At 51.9% G+C, this 20,653-nt stretch overlaps 1 long non-coding RNA gene across 1 annotated transcript, besides 7 other annotated features; it reads left to right on the forward strand.

Moving 5' to 3' along the window:
• The first annotated feature begins 1,146 nt into the window (after positions 1 to 1,146).
• LOC107985089 (uncharacterized) lies at positions 1,147 to 13,534 on the forward strand. Its single transcript, XR_001753021.2, has 4 exons — positions 1,147 to 1,188; positions 8,363 to 8,478; positions 8,873 to 8,925; positions 13,061 to 13,534. It is a non-coding gene; the product is annotated as an uncharacterized LOC107985089 (long non-coding RNA).
• Positions 4,141 to 4,957: an enhancer, noted in NCBI's record as "H3K4me1 hESC enhancer chr17:74822016-74822832 (GRCh37/hg19 assembly coordinates)". NCBI's record gives its function as "activates a minimal SCP1, AML or CMV promoter by ChIP-STARR-seq in naive H9 embryonic stem cells {active_cell/tissue: H9 hESC(naive)}" and the evidence as "EXISTENCE:reporter gene assay evidence [ECO:0000049][PMID:30033119]".
• Positions 16,359 to 17,083: an enhancer, noted in NCBI's record as "H3K4me1 hESC enhancer chr17:74834234-74834958 (GRCh37/hg19 assembly coordinates)". NCBI's record gives its function as "activates a minimal SCP1, AML or CMV promoter by ChIP-STARR-seq in naive H9 embryonic stem cells {active_cell/tissue: H9 hESC(naive)}" and the evidence as "EXISTENCE:reporter gene assay evidence [ECO:0000049][PMID:30033119]".
• Positions 17,724 to 17,773: an enhancer, noted in NCBI's record as "active region_12815". NCBI's record gives its function as "activates an Ori minimal core promoter by ATAC-STARR-seq in GM12878 lymphoblastoid cells {active_cell/tissue: GM12878}" and the evidence as "EXISTENCE:reporter gene assay evidence [ECO:0000049][PMID:35858748]".
• Positions 17,815 to 18,010: a silencer, noted in NCBI's record as "fragment chr17:74835690-74835885 (GRCh37/hg19 assembly coordinates)". NCBI's record gives its function as "represses an EF-1alpha promoter that drives an FKBP-Casp9 reporter gene in an ReSE screen in HepG2 liver carcinoma cells {active_cell/tissue: HepG2}" and the evidence as "EXISTENCE:reporter gene assay evidence [ECO:0000049][PMID:32094911]".
• Positions 18,024 to 18,083: an enhancer, noted in NCBI's record as "active region_12816". NCBI's record gives its function as "activates an Ori minimal core promoter by ATAC-STARR-seq in GM12878 lymphoblastoid cells {active_cell/tissue: GM12878}" and the evidence as "EXISTENCE:reporter gene assay evidence [ECO:0000049][PMID:35858748]".
• Positions 18,194 to 18,243: an enhancer, noted in NCBI's record as "active region_12817". NCBI's record gives its function as "activates an Ori minimal core promoter by ATAC-STARR-seq in GM12878 lymphoblastoid cells {active_cell/tissue: GM12878}" and the evidence as "EXISTENCE:reporter gene assay evidence [ECO:0000049][PMID:35858748]".
• Positions 19,498 to 20,014: an enhancer, noted in NCBI's record as "H3K4me1 hESC enhancer chr17:74837373-74837889 (GRCh37/hg19 assembly coordinates)". NCBI's record gives its function as "activates a minimal SCP1, AML or CMV promoter by ChIP-STARR-seq in primed H9 embryonic stem cells {active_cell/tissue: H9 hESC(primed)}" and the evidence as "EXISTENCE:reporter gene assay evidence [ECO:0000049][PMID:30033119]".

The following is a 20,653-nucleotide window of genomic DNA, read 5'->3' on the forward strand; positions in this document are numbered from 1 at the left end:
GATCCACCCGCCTCGGCCTCCCAAAGTGCTGGGATTACAAGCGTGAGCCACCGCACCTGGCCCATGTTTTCTTTTTTTTTTTCTTTTTCTTTTTCTTTTTTTTTTTGAGATGGAGTCTTGCTCTGTTTCCCAGGCTGGAGTGCAATGGCGCAATCTTGGCTTACTGCAACCTCCACCTCCCGGGTTCAAGCGATTCTCCTGCCTCAGCCTCCTGAGTAGCTGGAATTACAGGCGCCTGCCACCTCGTCCAGCTAATTTTTGTATTTTTTAGTAGAGATGGGGTTTCGCCATGTTGGCCAGGCTGGTCTCGAACTCCTGACCTCAGGTGATCCACCTGCCTCAGCCTCCCATAGTGTTGGGATTACAGGCATGAGCCACCATGCCCGGCCCACCTTTTCCTTTTAAACAATGGATTTTGCCACTTGATCTGGAGCTGGGGTCCTGGAGGCCTGGGTCAGGATGGGAAAGGGGGTGGGGTCAGCCCTGGCTGTGGCAGAGAGGCTCCGAAGCTCTGGACCCGGCAGAGTGGAGTGCAGGAGGCTCTGTTCCTCTTCTGGCACGGGGCCAGTGGATGCTGGCCTCCACTCAGCATCACTTCATGGTGACATCAAGCCCGTGATCTTCAAGGCACTTTGTCAGTGTACAGCCAGCAGCATTATGTTGGAGCTGTCCCTCATCTTTGCAATCATCTAGTTCAAGCTCCTCTCTTCTGCAGCTAAAAACGTGGGTGCTCATGCTGAGATCACCCACAAGCACTGCCCAGCTGTCACTTGGGCCTCTGAAGGAGGCCAGTGAGGAGGAGGAGTGTGTGGGGCCACTGGGCCTAGCACCCTCTGGGTATGAGCCTGGGCTTTAGAATGAGGTGGAAGGTGGAGGAGGTGGGTATTGGGAAGCGGCAGGAGGGCTTTTGGGAAACTTGGAATTCCCACTCTCAGTGACGTGTCTTAGGAGCCCCCTGGAACATTTCTATTTCAACTGAGTTGATCTGAGGAACTCTGACCACCATTTTCACCCAGTGGCATTCAAGGTAAGGAAAAGCGAATATTTTTTCTTGTTGTTGTTTGAGACAGGGTCTCGTCTGTCACCCAGGCTGGAGTCCAGTGGCACGATCACAGCTCACTGCAGCCTCAACCAACCAGGCTCAAGCAATCCTCCTACCTCAGCCTCCCGAGTAGCTGGGACTAACAGGTAGGCACCATCATGCTCGGCTACTTTTTGTATTTTCTTTTTTATAGAGGTGGGGTTTTGCCATGTTGCCCAGGCTGGTCGCAAACTCCTGGACTCAAGTGATCTTTCTGCCTCAGCCTCTCAAAGTGTTGGGATTACAGGCGTGAGCCACCGCACCCGGCCATAATTATTTTAAATAGAGTTGAAGTCTCACTGTGTTGCCCAGGCTGGTCTCAAACTCCTGAGCTCAAGTGATCCTCTGGCTTTGGCTTCCCAAAGTACTAGGATTACGGGCATGAGCCAGGGTGCTTTGCCTAATTTTTAATTTTTTTGTGGAGACAGGGTCTTGCTATGTTACTCAGGCAGATCTTGAACTTCTAGCCTCAAGCAATCCTCCTGCCTCAGCCTCCCAAAGCGCTGGGTTTACAGGCGTAAGTCACTGCTTTTGGCCTCCTCTAACCTTGATTCTGTATTCCCCTCTCCTGGGTGCCTGTGCACACATACACACACACATTCACCCGCTTATACATTTGCACATGCACCTGTACACTTGCACACTCTCCCTCATAAACTTTTTTTTTTTTTTTTTGAGACAGAGTCTCGCTCTTGTCACCCAAGCTGGAGTGCAATGGCATGATCTTGGCTCACTGCAACCTCTGCCTCCTGGGTTCAAGCGATTCTCTTGCCTCAGCCTCCCGTGTAGCTGGGATTACAGGCATGTGCCACCACGCCCGGCTAATTTTTGTATTTTTAGTAGAGACAGGGTTTCACCATGTTGACCAAGCTGGTCTCAAACTCCTGACCTCAAGTGATCCACGCACCTCGGCCTCCCAAAGTGCTGGGATTACAGGCATGAGCCACCGCGCCGGGCCCCTCATAAAGTCTTGCACACACTCAAACGCTCACCCACCACACCTACACACACCACACACACTCCCTGTCCTGCACACCTCTGCACACACGCACCTGCCCAGAGCACCTTGCTGGTTCCCCCGCTCCTGCTCTTGGATGGTTGAGCTTTGCCGAGACACGTCTGGAAGTGGAGTTGATCTGCTCACCCTCCGTTTTGCTCCCCCGACCCCAGCCCTTCCTGGGCTGTGTCTCCTCTTGACTGTCCTTCAGCTGCCCGCAGCCTTGCCTTCAGCATCCTTCCACCCACCTTGAGTGTTCCACCGTAAACCTACCCCCTGCTCTGGGATTCGCCTCATGCTTTCCTGAGCTCAGTGCCATCCTGCATTTCCCTCTTCAGCTCCTCTCCTCACGGTCAGCCGGGCTGAATAGGGTCCCTCCCTCCCTGCCATTTGATGGCCCATCGGTTGACTGATTCCTGTCCTCTCATGCGGCTGAGCATAGCCGGGGTGTTAGTTTCTTGTGGCTGCTGTGATGAATGACCACAAACCGGATGTCTGGACAGCAGGTATTTTTTCTCTCTTTATTTCTGAGACAGAGTCTTACTCTGTCGCCCAGGCTGGAGTGCAGCGGCACGATCTCAGCTCACTGCAAGCTCTGCCTCCCGAGTTCATGCCATTCTCCTGCCTCAGCCTCCAGAGTAGCTGGGACTACAGACGCCCGCCCCTACACCCGGCTAATTTTTTGTATTTTCGGTAGAGACAGGGTTTCACTGTGTTAGCCAGGATGGTCTCGATCTCCTGACCTCGTGATCCTCCCGCCTTGGCCTCCCAAAGTACTGGGATTACAGGCGTGAGCCACCGCGCCCGGCTGACAGCAGGTATTTATTTCAGTTCTAGAAGGCAGACATCCAAAATCAAGGTGTGGGAGAGCCGTGTTCCCTCCGAAGGCTCGAGGGTAGGGTCCGTTTCTTGCCTCCTCCAGCATCTGGGGGCTCCAGGCACTCCTTGGCTTGTGGCTGCATCACTGCAGTCTCTGCCTCGGTCTTCACGTGGCCTCCTCCTCCTTTCTCCTGCATTTTCCAGGAGGAGCTTAACTCCAATGACAAGTGTCCTTATAAGAGAAAATGGGCCGGGCGCGGTAGCTCACGTCTGTAATCCCAGCACTTTGGGAGGCTGAGGCGGGCAGATCACCTGAGGTCAGGAGTTCTAGACCAGCCTGACCAACATGGAGAAACCCTGTCTCTGCTAAAAATAAAAAAAATTAGCCGGGCGTGATGGCGCACGCCTGTAGTCCCAGCTACTCGGGAGGCTGAGGCAGGAGAATCACTTGAACCCGGGAGGCAGAGGTTATGGTGAGCTGAGATCGTGCCATTGGGCAACAAGAGTGAAACTCCGTTTCAAAAAAAAAAGAGAAAATGTTCATTTTCCAATGAAAATCCAGGCGGATTTTCTTAAATCTCTAGGCCCCTAATTTAATTACTTCGGCAAATAATGTTTTTCCAAGTAAGGCCTCATTCACAGATTCTGGAATGTGGATGTAGCTTTTTGGGGGTCACTATTCAACCCACTGCAGAGGAGGTGCGTGTGCATTGGGTGCAGTGGCAGCTGTGTTTCTGAGCTGTCCTTCCCTCCAGGGGCTCTCTACAAGTGGGGCTGCAACGTCCTAGGGCAGCCTCTCTCTCCTGTCTCCCTCTCTCCAGCACCTTTGCCTCACTTTATAAACGCTTTCCCTCTTGAACATATTAACAAACTAAAGACCATTTTTATTTTTTTAAAATTTGAGGTGGAGTCTCGCTCTGTTGCCCAGGCTGGAGTGCTGTGGCTCGATCTCCACTCACTACCTCCTCCGCCTCCTGGGTTCAAGTGATTCTCCTGCCTCAGCCTCCCGAGTAGCTGGGATTACAGGTGCCCACCACCACGCCCAGCTAATTTTTGTATTTTTAGTAGAGATGGGGTTTTGCCATGTTGGCCAGGCTGGTCTCGAACTCCTGAACTCAAGTGATCCGCCCACCTCGGCTTCCCAAAGTGCTGGGATTATAGGCATGAGCCACCACACCCAGCCAAAAGACCATTTTTCTTAAGACCATGACCCCTTGAACTCCATTCATCCAATTTTCCTTAGCTCCCAGACTGCCTATCAAAGCCATTCACATTCCTTGTGTCACCACCGTGGGCCCTGTCCTCTTTACTCTGTGCCATCTGCCAGGCAGCCTGCTTTCCCAGGGGCACCCACAGCCCCCTGGTAGGTACATGGAGTCTCTCTTCCTGGACTCGGCATCCTCTGTCTCTTTCCTGTGTTTTGTGTAGTGGGAGTTGGCGGAGGGATTCCCTCCCTCAGCCTCATGACCCTCCCCAGTTTAGCATCCATGGACCCACTGGGGGTCGAGCACCAGCAGTGAACAGACCTGGGGTCTCAGTTTGACCCCTTCGTAGCTATGTGACAGTGTTGAGGGAGGCACCTCTTCGCTGGGTCCTGGTGTACTCGGCTGTACCACACAGGCCCTCAAGGCACCGTGGAGGGCAGGACTGGACAGAGCAGTGGCAGGTGCCCGTGAGCGGAAGGGGAGCATTGAGGTGGAGGTAGCCAATTCTGTTTCTCCCTGCGCTGGTCCCTGTGAGTGAGTGTGTGTAACTTCCACATGCAAGGGCGGCTGCTGTCCAACATGAGGCAAGCAGGACTTCTCTCCCCCACTCTGCGCTGAGGATGGGCTGGGGAGGAAACGAGGCCTGAAGGCGTCCAGGCTCCGGGATGTCTCCCTCTGCACCGGTCTCATCATTTCGGTGCAGATTGAGGTTTCTTCTTGTGAAGGCTGTTAACAACCAAGTGAGAGCCGGGCTATCAAATGCCGAGTAATAAGATGCCTGTACCTGCTGCTTCCTGGCCGGAGTGATGGTGCATTTCTGCTGCTGAAATTGCATGTGGATTAATTAAAACGGGAGTAAGTATTTCTCCTGAATTATTCACCAGCTTCCAGGAGATGGAACCATCACTGTGGCGTCTTGTTACAGGAGTGCTGTGGCCTCTCCTCTGGTGGAGCACCGGAAGTGGAAGGCACGCTCCCGGGGCTGGGGCGTGCATGTAGGGGGTGCGGTGAAGCTGATCAGTTCTGTGGCTTTGAATCCTTGCATATCCGGAAGTCACAGAGAATTGGAAATGCCCTGCACGGGAGAGGCCAGCGGAATAACCCTCTAGAAAGTTCTCCTGCAGAGAAGTAGGAGCCTCCTCTTCCTTCCTTTTTTCCACTGACGAGGGCCTGCACTCCGCAGGGAGGCCTCAGGAGACTCGGTTTCCATCCTGCCTCTGGTCGGGGCAGTGGCCTCTCCATGCCTGATGGCAGGTCTGGGCTGAGCAAGGGGCCCCTAGGTGTCCCAGTGGTGCTTGTGGGCTGTTCTTGTATCTGACTGTGGAGTGTCAGAGTGTGTGTTCCATGCCCGCCTGGCCCTTGTGTGGGTATTTGTGGGTGCCTCTGTGTGCTGTGTATGAGGGTGCCACTGGAACGGGGCTGACCAAGCTCTTGGCCAATGATCCCATCCACCTTTGGTCCCTTGTGCTAGTGGGAAGGGCTGAGGGTGCTGGTCTGAGCCTTCTGGATGACCCCTCAGTCCTGACACTGGTTCTTCAGATGAGGTTGGCTGTCCCTTCCCCACGTGGTGGCTCTTTTTATTTTTATTTTTTTGAGATAGGATCTCACTCTGTTGCCCAGGCTGGAGTACAGTGGCATGATCTTGGCTCACTGCAACCTTGACCTCCCCGGGCTCAGGTGATCCTCTCACCTCAGCCTCCCCAGTAGCTGAGACCACAGGTGCGTGCCACCATGCCCAGCTAATTTTAACAACTTTTAGTACAGATGAGGTTTCACCATGTTGCCCAGGCTGGTCTTGAACTCCTGAGCTCAAGCAATCTGCCCACCTCAGCCTCCCAACGTGGGTGGTTCTTGATCAGTCCCCACAGATAATTTTTCTCTTGGGCCACCTTGACTGGAGACGCCTCATCTGCATGGGCCCTTTGCCGTGCCGTGCCGTGCCGTGCCATGCCGTGCTCATCCCGTTTCTCTTTCCAGGCCACAGGTCCACCCTGCTCCGGCCCCAGTGTCTTCTTACTCACTCTCCCTTCCCCTTGGGCCAATTTCCAAGCTGCCTCTGCGACTGGAGTTTAGCCAAGGCGAGCTCAGTTACACATACCTGAGCATGCACCCCAGCAGGCCTTTCCTGGGGCACTAGAGCTCTTTCTTTTCTTTCTTTTTTTTTTTTCTGAGACGGAGTCTTGCTCTGTCGCCCAGGCTAGAGTGCAGTGGTGCGATCTCGGCTCATTGCAACCTCTGCCTCCTGGGTTCAAGCGATTCTCCTGCCTCAGCCTCCCGAATAGCTGGGATTACAGGCACCTGCCACTGCACCTGGCTAATTTTTGTATTTTTAGTAGAGATGGGGTTTCACCATCTTGACCAGGCTGATCTCGAACTCCTGACCTCGTGATCCACCCACGTTGGCCTCTCAAAGTGCTGGGATTACAGGCGTGAGCCACCGTGCCCAGCCTAGAGCTCTTTCTAAGATAGACTCTCTTTTAATAAATGACTTTCAGGAAGATGGATGCTTATGTGTATCCTGCAGCAAGAGGATGAGTCAGTAGGACATGTCAGGGGTGTGGAGGGAATCTTTGAAGCTAGCGGGGCCTGGCACAGGGTATTGGCATTGGATCTGGGCAGAGCCAAGGAGTCCAGGCTGCCTCTCTCCATGGGGACACCTGCACCCTCCTGGCCGAGGGAAGGCAGGCAGCCAGCAGGGTACTTCGGCTGGGATCTGAGTGTAATGAAATATCGAGCAGTCTATTTTATGGATGGATTCTTCTCATACGTTCAAGATATTAAAATAAAAATTATTCTTAAAAGCTTGAATTGGAATAGAAGTAATGTCCCACAGTAAGCAAGGTAGATACCCCTTTGGCTGGCACTAAATTTTCTCCGAAATAGGCTGTTTTTTATGTAGAAGAGGGAGAGAGAGTCATCGTAGGTAAGTCAGACAAACTGAGCTTCTTAGCTTCAGAAACCTGAAAACAGGCTGGGCATGGTTGCTCACACCTGTATTCCCAGCAGTTTGGGAGCCTGAGAAGGGAGGATCACTTGAGGCCATGAGTTCAAGACCAGCCTGAGCAACATAGTGAGACTCTGTCTCTCCCAAAAAAAAAAAAAAAAAAAAAAATAGCCAGGCATGGTGGCACATGCCTGTAGTCCCAGCTACTTGGGAGGCTGAGGTGGGAGGATCGTTTGAGCTCAGGAGGTTGAGGCTGCAGTGAGCTGTGATTGTGCCACTGCACTCCAGCCTGAGTGATAGAGCAAGACCTTGACTCAAAAAAGAAGAAAGAAATCTGAAAACAAAAGCTGTCTGCCTCTCCTGCCCCACTTCCTCCTGCCTCAGGGTTAGTGGATTGCTTTGACTTTGGAAGAATTTGGAAAGTTTATATATGAAAATGACAATAATAGCTGGGGTGTGGTGGTGTGCACCTGTGGCCCCAGCTACACAGGAGACTGAGGCAGGAGGATCACTTGAGCCCAGGACGTCATGGCTATAGTGAGCTGTGTTTGACCTGCTGCACTCCAGCCTGGTAAATAGAGCAAGACCCTGTCTGAAAACAAAAAAGGCCAGGCGTGGTGGCTCACGCCTGTAATCTCAGCACTTTGGGAGGCCGAGGCAGGTGGATCACCTGAGGTCAGGAGTTCCAGACCAGCCTGGCCAACATGGTGAAACCCCATCTGTACTAAAATATAAAAATTAGCCGGGCATGATGGTGGGTGCCTGTAGTTCCAGCTACTCAGGAGGCTGAGGCAGAACTGCTTGAACCCAGGAGGCGGAGGTTGCAGTGAGCTGAGATCGTGCCACTGCACTCCAGCCTGGGCAACAGAGCAAGACTCCGTCTCAAAAACAAAACAAAACACAAAAAAACCCCAACCAACCAACCAAAAAAACTACAATAATACAACATGCAACCTTGAAGGTTTGATATAGAAATCTGTGCTCACGTTTTTCTGGCTGTACCTCTTATTTGTGACTATGTGTGTAAGAACTGATGTGAGACTTGGTAATTGTCCGTATAGCATGTGTGTATGTCTGTGTATCCGGGAGCTATTGCTGTGTAACTCAGCGCCTCAACACACAGAGGCCTATAACAGCAAACATGTATTGTCTCATTTATTACTATGGGTCAGAATTTGGGCACAGCTTAGCTGGGTGCCTCTGCCTCCAGGTCTCTCAAGAAGCCTGTGGTTAGGGAGTTGGCTGGGGTCTATTGTGATCAGATGGCTCCACTGGGGAACGATCAAATTCTAAGCTTGCTCCCTGGTTGCTGGCAGAACTTTCTTTGCTGGCTGTTGATCAAGGACTGCCCTCAGTTTCCTGCTGCAGAAGCCTCTTTGTAAAGCAGCTATGGCAGGAAGAGTCACCCTCAGAGCCGGCGAGAGAGAGAGGGGTGAGTGGACAGAAGCCACCATTTATTTCTCTTTTCCTTTTTGTTTTGAGACAGGGTCTGATTCCATTGCCCAGGCTGGAGTGCAGTGGTGTGATCACAGCCCACTGCAACCTCCACCTCCCAGGCTCAAGTGATCCTCCTGACTCAGCCTCCTGAGTAGCTGGGACTATGGGCATTTGCCACCACGCCTGGCTAATTCTTGTATTTTTTGTAGAGTTGGGGTTTTGCCATGTTGCCCAGGCTGGTCACTAACTCCTGGGCTCAAGTGATCCTCCCCCCTTGGCTTCCCAAAGTGCTGGGATTACAGGTGTGAGCCACCACACTGGCCCATGGTTTCTTTTTGTAACCTGGAAGTGACATCTTATCATTTCTGTGTTATATTTGTTGGAAGCAGGTCCAGCCCACACCCAAGGGAAGGAGATTCCGCAAGGGCATGGATACCAGGAGGTAAGGACCATTGGGGCCATGCGGGAGGCTGCTGCCTCGTCTCTACTGGTTAGGGGAGTGTACACATGCTGGCAAGAGAGACATGGGATTTTGGTTTTGCAGGTGCTTTTTTTTTTTTGTGATGGAGTCTCTGCTGTATGCAATGGCTTGATCTCAGCTCACTGCAACCTCTGCTTCCCGGGTTCAAGCAATTCTCCTGCCGCTGCCTCCCAAGTAGCTGGGATTACAGGCGCCCGCCACCATGCCCGGCTAATCTTTGTATTTTTAGTAGAGATGGGGTTTCACCATGTTGTCCAGGCTGGTCTGAAACTCCTGACCTCAGGTGATCCACCTGCCTTGGCCTCCCAGAGTGCTGGGATTACAGGCGTGAGCCACTGTGCCTGGCCTGCAGATGCTATTAATATCTGCAGATTTATAGATCAGGAGCATTCTCTAGGCTATCAAGGAGAGCCTCGTTTAATGGTCCATTAATTTATTTGACTTGTATGTTTTGCAAACAACTTGCTCCTGCCTATGATAGAACATCCGGTTGAAATCCACAAATTACAGATACGTGTGACAGCAGGCAGCTGCACATACATGAAAACATCAGTTATAAAATGTCCGCATGAAAAGATGTTTTGCCAAAGATCGTAGGCTTCTAGATGGGGGCTCTGCCTGAAAGGTGGGCGAGAGTTTATCCTTCAGGGCAGCTGGGTAGATCTGCATTAATGAATCCACAGGCTGGTGCTTGTCCTGAACACCAAGGTCCTCAGGCGGTGAGTTCCCTCTCATTCTGCTGCTGGTGAGAATGACTTGGCAAGCCTCATCTGACCCCACTGAGCAGGCTGGGCCAGCTCCTTAGTAACTGGGCCGAGTACTTGGGGAGGGCAAGCAGTGCCAGGCTACTCTCTTGCTTTCCAGAACAAAAACATATTTTATTTTTTATTTTTATTTATTTATTTTTTTTGAGTCAGAGTCTTGCTCTGTCACCCAGGCTGGAGTGCAGTGGCGTGAACTCGGCTCACTGCAAGCTCCGCCTTCCGGGTTCACGCCATTCTCCTGCCTCAGCCTCCCTAGTAGCTGGGACTACAGGTGCCTGCCACCACGCCTGGCTAATTTTTTTGTATTTTTTTAGTAGAGACGGGGTTTCACCATGTTAGCCAGGATGGTCTTGAACTCCCGACCTCAGGTGATCCACCAGCCTTGGCCTCCCAAAGTGCTGGGATTACAAGCGTGAACCACTGTGTCCTGACAAAAGCATATTTTAAAGCAACTCAGAGTCCTGGGAATGTTCAGGGTAGGTCTTGGGCGTGTTGTCCCATTCCATTTAACTAAAGGGGATGTATTGGTCAGGGATCTCTAGAGGGACAGAACTAATAGGATAGATGTATATATGAAGGGGAGTTTATTAGGAGAATTGATTCACACAGTCACAAGGTGAAGTCCCACAATAGGCCTTCTGCAAACTGAGGAGCAGCGAAGACAGCCTGAGTCCCAAAACTTCAAAAGTAGGGAAGCTGACAGTGTAGTCTTTACTCTGTGTCTGAAGGCCTGAGAGCCCCTGGCAAATCACTGGTGTAGGTCCAAGAGTCCAAAAGCTGAAGAATTTTGAGTCTGATGTTTGAGGGCAGGAAGCATCCAGCACGGGAGAAAGAAGAAGGCCGGAAGATCCAGAGAGTGTCCTTATTCTACGTTCCTCTGCCTGCTTTATTCTAGCCACGTTGGCAGCTGATTAGATGGTGCCCACCCAGATTGCAGGTGGTTCTGCCTCTCCCAGTCCACTGATTCAAATGTTAATCTCTTTTGGCAACACCTTCATAGACACACACAGGAACAATACTTTGTATCCTTCAATCCAATCAAGTTGACACTCAATATTAACCATCACGGGACATCCCAAGAGTGACCACCTTACGTCAGCACCGTCGGGCAGACATGACTTCTGCTTCTGTACCCCATCCCTTCCTCCATCATCTTCTGCACTTTGTGGGAGGCCCCGCTTAGCCTGGGGGGAGCTTCCAGTTATTCTGAAAGTGTGGTGTGGTGGAAAGTGAATGACTTGGCCGGGCGCGGTGGCTCTCACCTGTAATCCCAGCACTTTGGGAGGCCAAGGCGGGTGGATCACCTGAGGTCAGGAGTTTGAGACCAGCCTGACCAACATGGTGAAACCCTATCTCTACTAAAAATACAAAAATTAGCTGGGCATAGTGGCAGGCACCTGTAATCCCAGCTACTTGGGAGGCTGAGGCAGGAGAATCGCTTGAAGTCGGGAGGCAGAGGTTGCAGTGAGCCGAGATCTCACCATTGCATTCCAGCCTGGGTGACAGAGCAAGACTCCATCTCAAAAAGAAAGTGAGTAACTTTGGGACTGGATAGACCCTTGAGGATCCTGGCCTCCGGACTCCCCAGCTGTGAGAACTTAGATTTCCCCTCTGTAAAATGGGGATAATGCCACCTATTTCGTCAGACGTGTGAGGATGAGATGATGCATATATACAAAGTCCCTGCCAGAACCACAGATATATTAGGGTCACATGACTCTTCAATTCTCTCCTCGTCCCTCCCCAAAACAAAGCCTCTCTTCTGATATTGAATGCTGACTTTCCATGTGGAGCTTGTTGCAGAAGGACATTCCTTTTTGTGTGGGAAGTAAGGAAGGTGGAAAGAGTGTATGCATTTGCAGGGGCTGGGAGGGTGGCCCAATGGAGACAGGGAGCACAGAGCATTGTGTCTCCCTGCAAATGATCACGCTGTCCTGGGCGGGGCCTCCTGTTGCATGACAGATGATGGTACTCATCCAGCCCCTCCCCAGGACAGCCCAGTCAATTCCTCTGCAGTGAGTTCTATGGCTGAGTCTTTGGTGAGGAGTTGGGGGGATGGTAGAGGGTCCATTGTGAGGGGTTCGGGGTATAATGGAGGGTCCCTTGTGAGGGGTTGGGGGGATGGTGGAGGGTCCCTTGTGAGGGGTTGGGATGGTGGAGGGTCTGTTGTGAGGGGTTCAGGATATAATGGAGGATCCCTTGTGAGGGGTTGGGGGGATAGTGGAGGGTCCCTTGTGAAGAGTTGCGGTGGGGGATGGTGGAGTAGCCATAGAGAATGCTCTAGACTGAATATTGTATCTCCCTGACAATCACTATGTTGAAACCATAGCTGTCAGTATGGTGGTATTAGGAGACGGGCCTTAGGAGGTGATTAGGTTAGATAAGGCATGAGGGTGGGGCCCTCTCCATGGGATTAGTGCTCTTGTATGAAGAGACCCAGAGAGCTTGCGCGTGAATTCTCTCTGCCATGTGAGGACACAGCAAGGAGGTGGCCATCTGCAAGCCAGGAAGAGAGGCTTCCCTGAGAACAAAATCTGCCAACACCTTGATCTTGGACTTCCCAGCCTCCAGCACCATGAGACACAAATGCCTGTGATGAGGCCTCCCAGTCTGTGGTTTGCAATGGTAGCCGGAGCCCACTAGGACAGAGAGGCTTCCCAGCAGCCCCTCCTGAGCCTTGCTGCTGGCAGCTCCCATACGGCATAGTTATGGGATGTCTCTTTCTGCTGGAGGCTGGGACCCAGAAGCATAGGAGGGGAGTGAAGCCACTCTTCTTGGGAAAAGGTTGCTTATTGTTCAGCAGAGGAGGGAATGGCAGGGGGGGACAGTAAGGCATGGCTGGGAACCCCTGATATTGAGTGGCCTCTCATAATTGAGAGAAAGGTATATGGGTAGTAAGCTGGGGCAAAGTTAAGTAGGTATCTTAGAGCAGTGATTAGATTATGTTCGTCCAGTGGCCGGCTGCAAATTCCATTACTACAGAGTCTGTGAGAGGCTCTTTGGGGTCCTCTCCAGCCTGATACCTGCAGCTTTGGTAAGGACGTCCACAGAGTGGTCTCTCTGATTTCAGCTGGTGCCTTCAGGTCCCCTTGTGCACCCCACATCAGGGCAGATGCTCCACGACCCAAGCCTCTGTCATCCAGGGACTTCGTGGACTCAGGGGCCAGGCAGACCCCAGCAGGCTGTGCCTCGGGGGAAGTTGCTCCCCACCCCGACGGGGCTGCATCAGCTCGAAAGCTTCCCTAAAAGATGTTCCTTTTGTTGTTAAACTTATTTTCGTCTTGTCTGCACAGAATCATGCTTATTTCTCTCCATCATTTGTCTATGAACAGGGACGAAGAAGAGGGACAAAAAGGGAAAACGATTTGCTGTCATTGTATCCACAAAGTGCACATTTTCTTTGTACGGCTGAAATGTCTGTGCGTCTGAGAGCTTGCAAGCTTGTCTGAAATGGTCTAATTGCCTGATCTCAATCCTGGCTGGGTGCCTTGCATCTGGCTTTTCATGGATTTGAATTGGGAGGGGCCGTTGGGGGAGACTCTCCTAACTCAGGGATATTTTTAGGAAATCAAAGTTTGCTTTTCTGGGTCGATTCTATCCTCTGTCATCGCCACCTCCCAAGCTGCCTCCGCGGCTCTTGTCACTTGCCATTGTCCCTGGGCTCTGGTGGGAGGCCAGTCCTGTGCTGCTGAATTGGAATCAGGACCAGAACAGTCCTGACTGTCCCTATGGGACCCAGGCCGGGGGTACCCCACCCAGCCCTGTGCCAGGGGCTTTGTGTAAGTCAGCAGTTCTCAAAGTGGGGCCCTCTGAGACCCAAGGAGTTATTTTATTTTATTTTTTGAGACAGAGTCTCACTCTGTCTCCTAGGCTGGAGTGCAATGGCATGATCTCAGCTCACTGCAACCTCCACCTCCCGAGTTCAAGCAGTTCTCCTGCCTCAGCCTTCCAAGTAGCTGGGATTACAGGCGTCCACCAAACACCCAGCTAATTTTTTGTATTTTTAGTAGAGACGGCATTTTGCCATGTTGGCCAGGCTGTTCTTGAACTCCTGACCTCAGGTGATCCACCTGCCTTGTGCTCCCAAAATGCTGGGATTCCAGGCATGAGCCTCCGCGCCTGGCCTCGAGGAGGTTTTCGTTCTTCTCAATCAAAACAACATATCACAATGGCCAGAATGTAGAAGCAGACAGAAGAGTCCACTTGCTTCTTTCCACTAAGCCAGACATTAAAGAGATCTGCACTACTTTATTTATTGAGACAGAATTTCATTCTCTTGCCCAGACTGGAGTGCAGTGGTGTGATCTCGGCTCACTGCAACCTCCTTCTCCTGGGTTTGAGCAATTCTCCCGCTTCAGCCTCCCGAGTAGCTGGGAATACAGGTGTGCACCATGGCGCCTGGGTAATTTTTGTATTTTTAGGAGAGACGGGGTTTCGCCATGTTGGCCAGGCTGGTCTTGAACTCCTGACCTCAAGTGATCTGCCCACCTCGGCCTCCCAAAGTGTTGGGATTACAGGTGTGAGCCGCCGTGCCTGGACTTGCACTACTTTAAAACAGCACCTTCTGACTAACATTGTGTTGTTTTAAAAGAGGTTTTTTTTTTCATAAAAAGATGTGATTTATGTTAACATGTAGTGGTTTATTGTTGCTATTTTAAGGGAGTTAAATAAAATTTAAAATTTCTGTTTTAATTTCTAATACAATAAATATTGATGAGTAACATGCATAGAAACAAAACACTTTGAGGCTTCAATAATTTTTAGGAGAGTAAAGGGATTCTATAGCCAATAAGTTAGAAAATCACTGATATAAGTTGTGTCATTTAATCCTTCAACTTCCTTTATGGGAGGCAGCATAAGCCCAATTTCAGATGAAATCTGAAAGAGATGGAGAAGGGAAACCTTTCAGAAGGAATTTGTCCTGGATTTTACATTAAGCAGCTGAGTTGGGATTTAAAAAGCATGTCTTGGCCGGGTGCAGTGGCTCACGCCTGTAATCCCAGCACTTTGGGAGGCTGAGGTGGGCGGATTACTTGAGGCCAGACCAGCCCGGCCAACGTGGTGAAGCCCCCGTCTCTACTAAAAATACAAAAATTAGCCGGGCATGGTGACGCATGCCTGTAATCCCAGCTACTTGGGAGGCTGAGGCAGGAGAATGGCTTGAGCCCCAGAGGTGGAGGTTGCAGGGAGCCAAGATTGTGCCACTGCACTCCAGCCTGGGGTACAGAGTGAGAATCTGTCTCAAAAAAAAAAAATAATTTGTCCATGATTTTACAGTAAGCAGCTGAATTGGGATTTTTAAAAACATTTCTTTGTTAAAAACAACAGTTAGGGCTGGGCACGGTGGCTCATGCCTGTAATCCCAGCACTTTGGGAGGCCGAGGTGGGCAGATCACGAGGTCAGGAGATGGAGGCCATCCTGGCTAACGCTGTGAAACCCCGTCTCTACTAAAAATACAAAAAATTAGCCGGGCGTGGTGGCGGGCGCCTGTAGTCCCAGCTACTCAGGAGGCTGAGGCAGGAGAATGGTGTGAACCCAGGAGGCGGAGCTTGCAGTGAGCCAAGATCGTGCCACTGCACTCCAGCCTGGTGACAGAGCGAGACTCCGTCTCAAAAAACAAAAAAACAGTTAATACATACTATACAAAAAAATGGAAAATGAAAAAATTTAATCTGCCCATATAAGCCTGCCATTTAATCTTTTAGAATATTTGCTTTGTCTTCATATTTAATTTCCATAACCTGAGTCGTATTGTCTGTGCAGTTTTATATTCTAAAGCAGGATTTGAACCCAGAGCTCAGACAGAGCCAGGCCAAGTGGGGAAGGGGGCTTGTGCCTTTTTATCTCTTCACATTCTGACAGTGTCCTGGAATAGGACCTGAGGTTGTGTGTGAGGGGCTGATTTGCCTCTCTCAAAAAAAAATTCATGATGAAAGTTGGGCCTGGTGGTATGCACCTGTAGTCCCAGCTACTCAGGAGGCTGAGTGGGAGGATCGCCTGAGCACAAGAGTTTGAGGCCAGCCTGGCCAACATAGTAAAATCTCATCTCTTAAAAAAAAAACTAACTCATAGTGAATCCCTAACCCCTGTACTTCAGAATGTGAGTGTATTTAAAGATGCGGCCTTTAAAGAGGTGATTAAGTTAAAATGAGGCTCAGCGGGCAATAATCCAGTCTCACTGGTGTCCTTATAAAAAGAGGAAATTCAGGCCAGGCATGGTGGCTCACGCCTGTAATCCCAGCACTTTGGGAGGCCGAGGTGGGTGGATCACCTGAGGTCAGGAGTTCCAGACCAGCGTGGCCAACATGGTGAAACCCCGTCTCTACTAAAAATACAAAAATTAGCCGGGCGTGGTGGCACGTGCCTGTAATCCCAGATACTCGAGAGGCTGAGACAGAATTGCTTGAACCTGGGAGGCGGAGTTTCCAGTGAGCTGAGATCACGCCACTACTCTCCAGCCTGGGCAACAGAGTGAGATTCTGTTTCAAAAAAAAAAAAAGGAAAGAAAAGAAGAGGAAATTCAGACACACAAAGAGACAGCAGGGAAGGGGCACAGAGGAAAGACGTAGGAGGCCACCCAAAGAATGCCCGGGCCCTGTCTGGGGCTGTCCACCTTCGCCCTGAGCACACGGTGGAAGGAAGTGGCTCAGAGCCTTGTCACAGGGCCCTGGAGTGGGAGCCCTTTGCTTCTGGGGTCTGCTCTGGGCTGAGAAGGCTTGACCCTGTTGAAATGGCTCTGCTGGCCTGGACCCCCTGAGACAGGTTCCATTTCAGCTGGTGAGCTCAGGGCCTGGCCTTGGACATGGCCAGCGCCAGTGAAACTGGATCTAGAATAAGCAGAAAGACAGCTCAGTGCCATCTTTAACTCACAGTGCAGGGAGTGAGCCCAGGCTTCAGGGCAGAGTGCTCCCTCCGCTTGCTGACTCTCAGCCTGGGCTCTGTCCTCTGGGCTCCGGCTGTTGTAGGACATCCTGAGAAAGGGGTCAGCCAGGCCGTGAACAGTCAATGGCATAGAGGCCTGAAGACTCCAGTCCTTCCTCCTGTGATGATGACACGTCCTAGGTGACCACCCTTGAGCTGATGCTTCTTTTTTTTTTTTTTTCCCTTCGAGACAGAGTCTTGCTCTGTTGCCCAGACTGGACTGCAGTGGCACCATCTCGGCTTACTGCAACCTCCACCTCCTGGGTTCAAGTGATTTTCCTGCGCCGAGGGGCTGGGACTACAGGTACGCGCCACTGCACCTGGATAATTTTTGTATTTTTACTAGAGACGGGGTTTCGCATGTTGGCCAGGCTGGTCTCGAACTCCTGACCTCTTGATCTGCCTGCCTTAGCCTCCCAAAGTGCTGGGATTACAGGCATGAGCCACAGCGCCCGGCCTGATGCTTATTTCTTTCCTCTCATGGTCTACACTTCCTCCCCTCCGCTCACTTCAGTCCTCTCCGCTCTTCACTGAACTGGCCTTTGACAAGGTCTCTGATGAGCGACGTCACCTCTCAGCTCCAGGCCCCCCAGACAGCACATTTTTCAGGTGTCGTTTCTGAGCACTCAATGCTGGCCTGTGCCTGGCTCAGCTCTTGGCTGTCTTTTCTATCTTAGCATGGTCCAACAGAGGTGCTTTTTTTTTTGTTTTTGAGACAGGGTCTTGCTCTGTCATCCAGGCTGGAGTGCGGTGGCACAGTTACTGCTCACTGATGCCTCAACCTCCTGAGCAGCTGGGACTGCAAGCATGCACCACTGTGTTGGGCTAATTTTTTATTTTTTGTAGAGATGGGGGTCTCAGTATGTTGCCCAGGCTGGTCTCAAACTCTTGGGCTGAAGTGATCTGCCTGCCTCCGCCTCCCAACGTGTTGGGATTATAGGCGTGAGCCACCATGCCCGGCCCCAACAGATTTTTCTGCCATGTTGGAGATGTTCTCTCTGTGCTGTGCAACACAGTAGCCATGAGCCACGTGCAAGGTGGTCAGTGTGACTGAGAAACCGGTTTCCTTTTTTTTCCTTTCTTTTTTTTTTTTTTGAGATGGAGTGTCTCCCTCTGTCACCCAGGCTGTAGTGTAGTGGTATGATCTCGGCTCACTGCTACCTCTGCCTCCTGGGTTCAAGCAATTCTCCCCTGCCCCAGCCTCCTGAGTAGCTGGGATTACAGGTGCATGCCACCATGTCCAGCTAATTTTTGTATTTTTAGTAGAGACAGTTTCACCATGTTGGCCAGGCTGGTCTCTAACTCCTGACCTCAGATGATCCACCCACCTCGGCCTCTCAAAGTGCTGGGATTACAGGCTTGAGCCACTGCATCCGGCCTGAGGTTTCCTTTTAGTTTCATTTTAATGAATTTAAATGTAAATAGCCACAGTGGCTGCTGGCTGCTGGCTGCGGTGTTGGACAGCGCCTCCTAGGAGGCTGTTAATACCTGTGCCGTGCCTTTGTAGAGCATCTGCCGCTGTCTTCTGCATTTCTGTTCCCTGCGCTGACACCTCCCCTGAGCCCCCATGAGATCCATCTCTTCTTGACACCTCTCCTGGGTGCCTCATAGGCACATGGATTGAGCACGTGAAAATTCTCTGATCCCACCTTCCCCATCGCAGAGAACGGCACCTGCCACTGCTCAGCCTCCAGATTCAGGAGTTGCATTTGTTTCCTTCTTTCTCCTGCCCTGAGCCAGTCACCTGGGCTCGTCCCTCCAGACATATCCCAACCTACACTTCCCTCCACCCCCACTGCCTCAGCCCACTCCGGATCAGGCTGGCCCTCCCAGCTCTCTGCCTCCCCACTCCTGTCCCGTGTCCCCCAGCCCAGCAGCCAGAGTGACCCGGCTACAGCACAAATCCCAGCACCTCGCTCCCTGCACCCCTAACTGCAACCAGAATCCATCCCAGCTGCTCTGTGGTCTGGCCTGCCCAGCCCTCCCACCCCATCTCCTCCTTCCCCTTCTAGTTGCCCAGTGCTGACCCCTCCCAGGGCTCCTGCATTTGCTGCTTGGAACTACCTCCCTGGCACCTTTGTGTCTCCTCCTCACTCCAGTCTGAATTCAGTGTTACCTCCTCAAAGAGGTCTTGTCCCAACACTCACTAGCACAGCACGTCGTCTTCCTTGTAGAGAGCACGCAGCCCCTCCAGACCAGAGCTGGACTTCCACAGGGAGCATCAGCCCCTCCAGACCAGAGCTCTGTTCTCATCACTGTGTTCCTGGTAAAACAGTCTTGTTGGCCTCCCTGAGCCAAGCTCTCTGTCCCTTCCTCCCTCTCTTCTTTTCTACCTCCCTCTCTCCCCACCTGTCTCTTCCTCTCTCTCCTTTTCTCCCTCTTTCTCTCCCTGACTCCCTCTGTTCCCTCAGTCAGTCTCTTTCTCTCCTCTCCCCGCCCTCTTGTTCCCTCTCTGTCTCTCTCTATTTCTGTCTCTTTTCTCCTCTCTCCCTCTGTTTCTCCCCCGACTCTCTCTCTGCCTCTCTGTCTCTCCCACTCTCTGCTTCTCTCTCTCTCTCTCTGCCTCTCTTTCTCTGCCTCTCTGTCCCTCCCTCTCTCTCTCTGTCCCTCCCTCTCTCTCTCTGTCCCTCTCCCTGTCTCTCTCTCCCTCTCTGTCTCTATCTCTCTCTGCCTCTCTTTCCTCTCTCTCTCTCTCCGCCTCTCTGTCTCTCCCTCTTTCTCCCTCTCTCTTTTCCTCTCTCTCTCTGCCTCTCTCTCCCTCCCCCCACCTCTCTCTGCCTCTCTGTCTCTCCCTCTTTGCCTCTCCCTCCCTCTCTCTCTGCATCTCTGTCTCTCCCTCTCTCTCCCTCTCTCTCTCTGCCTCTCTATCCCTCTCTATCTCTCCCTCTCTTTCTCCCTCTCTGTCTCTCTCTCCCTCTTTCTCTGCCTCTCTGTCTCTCCCTCCCCCCACCCCACCTCTCTGTCTCTCCCTCTCTCTTTGCCTCTCCCTCCCTTTCTCTCTCTCTCTCTGCCTCTCAGTCTCTCCCCCTCTCTCTCTCCTTTTGTTCCCCCCACCCACCCATGTCTGTGGAGGGCTGTGTCTCCCTTTGCCCCAGGACACTCCCTTTTTTTCTCCCCCGGTTCCGGTCTTTTGGGTGAAGGGTAGAAGGAAGACAAAAGCTGGAATTCCTGAGCAAGGGAAGTCATCACTACCCCCACGCTGGAGTTGTGACTGCCCATGCTGTGGCCCCTGGGTGGCCTCTGATGCAGCCACGCAAGGGGGTTCCACTCTGCTCCTTACTGGACCTGACCCCACCCCCTCCAGCAGCGTCCTCCGGAAGGGACTAGTTTCCCCTTGTACCCAGTGGGTCCAGGGCACCTGGATCAGTCCTTCAGTACCTTCATGTTTCAAACAAACACCTCTTGTAGCTCAGGCAGCAAATTGCGCTGTTCGTGGGGAGAGGGGCCGAGTGCCCTGACCAGTCGGAGCTGGACCGGCCAGTGCTCCTCTGGTAGAGGGTGGGGGGATCACTTGGGGTGGGCTTTGGCTGGGGGAACCTGGAGGCTTGCAGGCTGGGCTCCCAGAGACCTTAGGATGGTCTCATGCATACCCAGGTCTATTCTGAGCCATGCACCAAGCACCTTGGCTGGAGTCAGCTCACTTCCTCCCCTTATTACAGGTCCCAGCAGCCGCAAACCCAAACTTCCCCGGAGCACCAGCACACTCCCCATTAATGATAAGGCAGGAGAGCTCCTGCTCTTTCCAGCCGGGACTTTAATTTCTCTAATTATAGCTGAGGCTTGGAGCAGTCCCTCCCACTTAATCTACTTAATGCAGACACACACTCCCCCCAGCTCTCCACCCCTACCCGGCTTCTGCCTTTAACCCTTTTGCTGCTGGGTGGCAGTTCTCTGAGTGGGCACCTTTTAAGAGCTGAATTGCATTCATCTCACCAAATTCGTATGTTAGAACCCCAAACCCTGTAGCTCAGAATGTGACCATTGGAGACAGGGTCTTTAAAGA

Source organism: Homo sapiens, chromosome 17 (genome assembly GCF_000001405.40).
Source record: "Homo sapiens chromosome 17, GRCh38.p14 Primary Assembly".
NCBI classification, from domain to species: Eukaryota; Metazoa; Chordata; class Mammalia; order Primates; family Hominidae; genus Homo; species Homo sapiens.